This window comes from Homo sapiens, chromosome 3, assembly GCF_000001405.40.
Source record: "Homo sapiens chromosome 3, GRCh38.p14 Primary Assembly".
NCBI classification, from domain to species: domain Eukaryota; kingdom Metazoa; phylum Chordata; class Mammalia; order Primates; family Hominidae; genus Homo; species Homo sapiens.
In genome coordinates this window covers 110,669,312-110,677,902 of record NC_000003.12, presented here as the reverse complement: position 1 = coordinate 110,677,902, position 8,591 = coordinate 110,669,312, and positions in this window count along the sequence as shown.

Below are 8,591 nucleotides of genomic sequence, written 5' to 3'. Positions count from 1 at the left end.
AGCTTTGAGAAGCACTTTTAATAAATGATTTGTGAGGGCTAGAGCAACAAGAGCCGAACTTATTTTTGGACTAACTTAATCCCCTGTATTGGTTAATAAACCATCCCAAAACTTAGTGGCTTAAAGCAATGATTTATTAAGTCTCACAATTGTGTGGTCTGGCTGTGGAATGCTCATGCTGCTCTTGCCTGGCATCCCTCATGCTTTTTATTTACGTAGGGGATCAACTGGGCCTAATATGTCCTCATCTGTATGTCTGAGGCCCTGCTGAGAAAGCCAGAGGCTGAGACCTTTCTTCCCATAGGATGTCTCCTTACGCTGTAGCCCAGCCTGAAGTATTTTTCTTTTCTTTTTTTTTCTTTCCTTAGTCATTGATTTTTAAAAACATTTTAACTTTTATTTTACATTTAGGAATACATGTGCAGGTTTGTTATATAGGTAAACTAATGACTCGGGAGTTTGTTGTACAGATTAGTCACCCAGGTACTGTAAACATGGTATCCGATAGTTGCTTGTTTTTTTTCTGAACCTCTCCCTCCTCCCACCTTCATCCTCAAGTAGGCCCCAGTGTCTGTTGTTCCCCTCTTTGTGTACATGTGTTCTCATTATTTAGCTCCCACTTATGAGTGAGAACATGCAGTATTTGGTTTTCAGTTCCTGTGTTGATTTGCTAAGGATAATGGCCTCTAGTTCCATCCATGTTTCTGCAAATCACACAATCTCTTTCTTTTTATGACTGCATAGTATTCCACAGTGTATATGTACCACATTGTCTTTATCCAGTTCGTTGTTAATGGGCATTTAGGTTGATTCCATATCTTTGCTACTGTGAATAGTGCTGCAATGAACATACATGTGCATATGTCTTTATGGTAGAATGATTCCTTTGGATATATACCCAGTAATGGGATTATTGAGTCAAATGGTGGCTCTTTGAGGAATCACCACACTGCTTTCCACAATGGTTGAACTAATTTACACTCCTACCCACAGCGTATAACCATTCCTTTTTTCCTGCAACCTCGCCATCATCTGTTATTTTTCTAGTTTTTAACAATAGCCATTTTGACTGGTGTGAGATGATATCTCTTTGGCTTTTTGACTGGCATTCATCTAATGATTAGCAATATTGGACATTTTTTAATATGCTTGTTGGCCTTATATGTTTTCTTTTGAAAATAATCCACTCATGTCATTGGCCATTTTTTAACGAGGTTGTTTTTTATTGCTTTTGCTTGCACATTTGTTTAAGTTCCTTGTAGGTTCTGGATACTAAACATTTGTCAGATGTGTAGTTTGTAAATATTTTCTCCCATTCTGTAGGTTGTCTATTTACTCTGGATAATTTCTTTTGCTGTGCAGAAGCTCTTTAGTTTGATTAGATCCCATTTGTCAATTTTTCCCAGCACCATTTATTAAATAGGGAATCCTTTCCCCATTGCTTGTTTTTGTCAGGTTTGTCAAAGATCAGATGGTGGTAGATGTGTGGTGTTATTTCTGAGCCCACTGTTCTGTTCCGTTGGTCCATATATCTGTCATGGTACTAGTACCATGCTCTTTTGGTTACTGTAGCCTTGTAGAATAGTTTGAAGTCAGGTAGAATGATGCCTCCAGCTTTGTTCTTTTGGCTTAGGATTCTCTTGTCTATGCAGGCTCCTTTTTGGTTCCATATGAACTTTTAAGTAGTTTTTTCCAATTCTGTGAAGAAAGTCAATGGTAGCTTGATGGGAATAGCATTGAATCTATAAATTACTTTGGGCAGTATGACCATTTTTACTATATTGATTCTTCCTATCCATGAGCATGGAATGTTCTTCCAATTGTTTGTGTCCTCTTTATTTTGTTGAGCAGTGGTCTGTAGTTCTCCTTGAAGAGGTCCTTCACATCCCTTGTAAGTTGGATTCCTAGGTATTTTATTCTCTTTGAAGCAATTGTGAATGGGAGTTCACTCATGATTTGGCTCTCTGTCTGTTATTGGTGTATAAGAATGCTTGTGATTTTTGCACACTGATTTTGCATCCTGAGACTGCTGAAGTTGCTTATCAGCTTAAGGAAATTTTGGGCTGAGACGATGGGGTTTTCTAAATATACAATCATGTCATCTGTAAACAAAGACAATTTGACTTCCTCTTTTCCTAATTAAATACCCTTTATTTCTTTTTCTTGCCTAATTGCCCTGGCTAGAACTTCCAATACTATGTTGAGTAGGAGTGGTGAGAGAGGACATCCTTGTCTTGTGCTGGTTTTCCAAGGGAATGCTTCCAGCTTTTGCCCATTCAGTGTGATATTGGCTGTGGGTTTGTCATAAATAGCCCTTATTATTTTGAGATTCGTTTCATCCATACCTAGTTTATTGGGAGTTTTTAGCATGAAGTGCTGTTGAATTTTGTCGAAGGCCTTTTCTGCATCTATTGAGATAATCATGTGGTTTTTGTCATAGGTTCTGCTTATGTGATGGATTACATTTATTGATTTGCATATGTTGAACCAGCCTTGCATCCCAGGGAAGAAGCCAATGTGATCATGGTGGATAAGCTTTTTGATGTGCTGCTGGATTCGGTTTGCCAGTATTTTATTGAGGATTTTTGCATCGATGTTCATCAGGGCTATTGGTCTAAAACTCCCTTTTTTTGTTGTGTCTCTGCCAGGTTTTGGTATCAGTAGGAGGCTGGCCTCACAAAATGAGTTAGGGAGGGTTTCCTCTTTTTCTATTGATTGGAATAGTTGCAGAAAGAATGGTACCAGCTCCTCCTTGTACCTCTGGTAGAATTTGGCTGTGAATCCTTCTGGTCCTGGACTTTCTTTGGTTGGTAGCTATTAATTATTGCCTCAATTTCAGAACCTGCTATTGGTCTATTCAGAGAATCGACTTCTTCCTGATTTAGTCTTCGGATGGTGTATGTGCCCAGTAATTTATCTATTTCTTCTAGATTTTCTAATTTATTTGCATAGAGGTGTTTATAGTATTCTCTGATGGTAGTTTGTATTTCTGCGGGATTAGTGGTGATATCCCCTTTATCATTTTTTATTGTGTCTATTTGATTCTTCTCTCTTTTCTTCTTTATTAGTCTTGCTAGTGGTCTATCTATTTTGTTGATCTTTTCAAAAAACCAGCTCCTGGATTCATTGATTTTTTGAAGGGTTATTTGTGTCTCTATTTCCTTCAGTTCTGCTCTGATCTTAGTTGTTTCTTGTCTTCTGCTAGCTTTTGAATTTATTTCCTCTTGCTTCTCCAGTTCTTTTAATTTTGATGATAGGGTGTCGATTTTAGATCTTTCCTGCTTTCTCTTGTGGGCATTTACTACTATAAATTTCCCTCTACACACTGCTTTAATTGCGTCCCAGAGATTCTGGTATGTTGTGTCTTTGTTCTCGTTGGTTTCAAAGAACATCTTTATTTCTGCCTTCATTTTGTTATTTACCCAGTAGTCATTCAGGAGCAGGTTGTTCAGTTTCCACATAGTTGTGCAGTTTTGAGTGAGTTTCTTAATCCTGAGTTCTAACTGGATTGCACTGTGTTCTGAGAGACAGTTTGTTGTGATTTCTGTTCTTTTACATTTGATGAGGAGTGTTTTATTTCCAATTATGTGGTCAATTTTAGAATAAGTGTGATGTGGTGCTGAGAAGAATGTATATTCTGTTGATTTGGGATGGAGAGTTCTGTAGATGTCTATTAGGTCCGCTTGGTGCAGAGCTGAGTTCAAGTCCTGGATATCCTTGTTAATTTTCTGTCTTGTTGATCTCTCTAATAGTGACAGTGGGGTGTTAAAGTATCCCATTATTATTGTGTGGGAGTCTAAGTCTCTTCATACATCTCTACGAACTTGCTTTATGTATCTGGGTGCTCCTGTATTGGTTGCATATATATTTAGGATAGTTAGCTCTTCTTGTTGAATTGATGCCTTTACCATTATGTAATGGCCTTCTTTGTCTCTTTTGATCTTTGTTGGTTTAAAATCTGTTGTATCAGAGACTAGGATTGCAACCCTTGCATTTTTTTTTTCTTTTTTTTTTTTTTTTGCTTTCCATTTGCTTGGTAGATGTTCCTCCATCCCTTTATTTTGAGCCTGTGTGCGTCTTTGCACATGAGATCAGTCTCCTGAATACAGCACACCGATGGGTCTTTATCCAATTTGCCAGTCTGTGTCTTTTAACTGGGGCATTTGGCCTGTTTATATTTAAGTTAATATTGTTACGTGTGAATTTGATCCTATCATTATGATGCTAGCTGGTTGTTTTGACCGTTAGTTGATTCAGTTTCTTCATAGCATCAGTAGTCTTCACAATTTGGCATGTTTTTGCAGTGGTTGGTACTGGCTGTTCCTTTCCATGTTTAGTGCTTCCTTCAAGAAGCTCTTGTAAGGCAGGCCTGGTGGTGACAAAATGTCTCAGCATTTAGTTATCTGTAAAGGATTTTATTTCTCCTTTGCTTATGAAGCTTAATTTGACTGGATATGAAATTCTGAGTTGAAAATTCTTTTCTTTAAGAATATTGAATATTGGCTCCCACTCTCTTCTGGCTTGTAGGGTTTCTGCAGAGAGATCTGCTGTTAGTCTGATGGGCTTCCCTTTGTGAGTAACCAGACCTTTCTCTCCAGCTGCCCTTAACATTTTTTTCCTTCATTTCAACCTTGGTGCATCTGATGATGATGTATGTCGGGGTTGCTCTTCTTGAGGAATATCTCTGTGGTGTTCTCTGTATTTCCTGAATTTGGATGTTGGCTTGCCTTGCTAGGTTGGGGAAGTTCTCCTGGATAATATCCTGAAGAGTGTTTTCTAACTTGGTTCCATTTTCCCCGTCACTTTCAGGTACACCAATCAAACATAGATTTGGTCTTTTCACATGGTCCCATATTTCTTGGAGGCTTCATTAGTTTCTTTTCACTCTTTTTTCTCTAATCTTGTCTTCTTGCTTTATTTCATTAATTTGATCTTCAATCACTGATATCCTTTCTTCTGCTTGATGAAATTAGCCATTGAAACTTGTTTATGCTTCATGAAGTTCTCGTGCTGTATTTTACATCTCCATTGGGTCATTTATTTTCTTCTCTACACTCATTATTTTAGTTTAGCCATTCCTCTAACCTTTCTTCAAGGTTTTTAGCTTCCTTGTGATGGGTTAGAACATGCTCCTTTAACTCGGAGAAGTTTGTTTTACCCACCTTCTGAAGCCTACTTCTGTCAACTCATCAAACTCATTCTCCATCCAGTTTTGTTCCATTGCTGGCGAGAAGTGTGATCCTTTGGAGGAGAAGAGGCATTCCGGCTTTTGGAATTTTCAGCCTTTCTGCTCTGGTTTCTCCCCATCTTTGTGGTTTTATCTACCTTTGGTCTTTGATGTTGGTGACCTACAGATGGGGTTTTGGTGTGGATGTCCTTTTTGTTGATATTGATGCTATTCCTTTCTGTTTGTTAGTTTTCCTTCTAACAGACAGGCCCGTCAGTTGCAGGTCTGTTGAAGTTTGCTGGAAGTCCACTCCAGGCCCTTTTTGCCTGGGTATCACCAGCAGAAGCTGCAGAACAGCAAATATTGCTGCCTGATTCTTCCTCTGGAAGCTTCATTCCAGAAGGGCACCTGCTAGATGCCAGCCAGATCTCTCCTGTATGAGGTGTCTGTTAGCCCCTGCTGGGAGGTGTTTCCCAGTCAGGCTACATGGGGGTCAGGGACACACTTGAGAAGGCAGTCTGTCCATTATCAGAGCTTGAACACTGCGCTGGGAGAAACATGCTCTCTTCAGAGCTGTCAGGCAGGGACATTTAAGTCTGTAGAAGCTTTGCCCACAGCTGTCCCTTTCCCCAGGTGCTCTGTCCCAGGGAGATGAGGGTTTTATCTATAAGTCCCTGACTGGGGCTGCTGCCTTTTATTCAGATATGCCCTGCCCACAGAGGTGGACTCTAGAGAGGCACTTGGCTTTGCTGAGCTGTGGTGGGCTCTGCCCAGTTCAAGCTTCCCGGCAGCTTTGTTTACACTGTGGGCATTAAACCACCTACCCAAGCCTCAGCAATGGCAGACGCCCCTCCCCCCACCAAGCTCCAGCATCCCAGGTCAATCTCAGACTGCTGCACTAGCAGCAAGAATTTCAAGCCAATGGATCTCAGCTTGCTGGGCTCCATGGGTGTGGGACCCCCTGAGTCAGGCACTGGAGGGAATCTCCTGGTCTGCTGGTTGCAAACACGGTGGGAAATGTGTAGTATTTGGGCAGGAATGTACCATTCCTCCCAGTACAGTCTCTCATGGCTTCCCTTGGCTAGGAAAGGGAAATCCCTGACCACTTGTGCTTCCCAGGTGAGGTGATGCCCCACCCTGCTTCGGCTCACCCTCTGTGGGTTGCACCCACTGTCCAACCAGTCTTAATGAGATGAACCAGATACCTCAGTTGGAAATGCTGAAATCACTCATCTGCATCTATCTCGCTGGGAGCTGCAGACTGGAGCTGTTCCTATTCGGCCATCTCGGAAGAGAGTCCTTAGTTTCCCAAAGTCTTAACTCATTTCAGCGTTAACTCAAAAGTCCATAGTCCAAAGTCTCATCTGAGACAAAGCAAGTCCCTTTTGCCTGTGAGCCCATAAAATCAAAAGCAAGTTAGTTACTTCCTAGACACAACTAGGGTACAAGCATTGGGAAAATACAGCCATTCCAACTGGGAGAAATTTGGCAAAACAAAGGGGCTACAGGCCCCATGCAAGTTCAAAATTCAGCAGGACAGTCAAATCTTAAAGCTCCTAAATGATCTGCTTTGACTCAATGTCTCACATCTAGGTCATGCTGATTCAAAAGGTGGGCTCCTACAGGCTTGGGCATCTCCATCCTTGTGGCTTTGCAGTGTATAGCCTCCCTCCTGGCTGCTTTCATGGGCTAGCATTGAGTGTCTGCAGCTTTTCCAGGCACATGGTGCAAGCTCTCAGTGGATCTACCATTTTGGGGTCTGGAGGATGGCAGTGGCCCTCTTCTCACAGCTCCTCTAGGCAGTGCTCCAGTAGGGACTCTGTGTGGGTGCTATGATCCCACATTTCCCCTTCACACTGCATTAGCAGAGGTTCCTCATGAAGGCCCAGCCTCTGCAGCAAACTTCCTCTGAAATGTAGGCAGAGGTTCCCAAACCTCAATTCTTGACTTCTGTGTACCTGCAGACTCAACACCACATGGAAGCTGCCACAGCTTGTTGCTTACACTCTCTAAAGTGGTGCCTAAGCTGCACCTTGGTCCATTTTATCCATGGCTAGAGCAGCTGGGGTGCAGGGCACCAAATCCCTGCAGGGGGGCCCTGGGCTTAGCCCACAAAACCATTATTTCCTCTTAGGCCTCCAGGCCTGTGATGGAACAGGATGCCTCACAGGTCTCTGACATGCCCTGGAGACATTTTCCCTATTGTCTTGGCAATTAACATTTGGCTTCTCATTACTTCTGCAAATTTCTGCAGCTAGTTTGAATTTCTCCTCAGATAATGTTTGCTTTGTTTTGTTTTTTCTATTGCATTGTCAGGCTGAAAATTCTCCAAACTTTTATGCTCTGTTTTACTTTTAAAACTGAATGCCTTTAACAGCACCCAAGTCACCTCTTGAATGCTTTGCTGCTTAGAAATTTCTTCTGCCAGATACCCTAAATTACCTCTCTCAAGTTCAAGGTTCCACAGATCTCTAGGGCAGGGGCAAAATGCCACCAGTCTTTTTGCTAAAACATGAGAGGAGTCATCTTCGCTCCAGTTCCCAACAAGTTCCTCATCTTCATGTGAGACCATCTTAGCCTGGATTTCATTGTCCATATCATTATCAGCATTTTGGGCAAAGCCATTCAACAAGTCTCTGGGGAGTTCCAAACTCTCCCACATTTTCCTGTCTTCTCCTGAGCCCTTCAAACTGTTCCAACTTCTGCCTGTTACCCAGTTCCAAAGTGACTTCTACATTTTTGGGTATCTTTTCAGCAGTGCCCCACTTTACTTGTACTAATTTACTATGTTAGTTCGTTTTCATGCTGCTTATAAAAACGTAACCAAGACTGGCAATTTACAAAAGAAAGAGGTTTAATGGACTTACAACTTCATATGGCTGGGGAGGCCTCACAGTTGTGGCAGAAGGCAAGAGGAAGCAAGTCACATCTTAAATGGATGGTGGCAGGCAAAGAGAAAGAGAGCTTGGGCATAGAAACTACCATTTTTAAAACCATCAGATCTGGTGAGTCTTATTCACTATCATGAGAACAGCACAGGAAAGACCCGCCCCATAATTTAGTTACCTCCAACCAGATTCCTTGTGGGAATTGTGGGAGTTACAATTCAAGATGAGATTTGGGTGGGGACACAACCAAACCATATCAGCCAGATATTAAACTTTTGGTTGGAATTCCTTTTCTTAAGAATGTTGAATATAGGCCATCAGTATCTTCTGGCTTGTAGGATTTGTCCTGATAAGTCTGATGTTAGCCTGATGACGTTCCCTTTCTAGGTGACCTGTTTTTTCTCTCTAGCTGCCTTCAACATTTTAGTTTTTATTTTGACCCTGGAGAATCTGATGACTATGTGTCTTGAAGAAGTCATTCTTGTGAAGTATCTTGTGGGGGTTCTCTGCATTTCTTTTCCTGTTTTTTTTTTTCT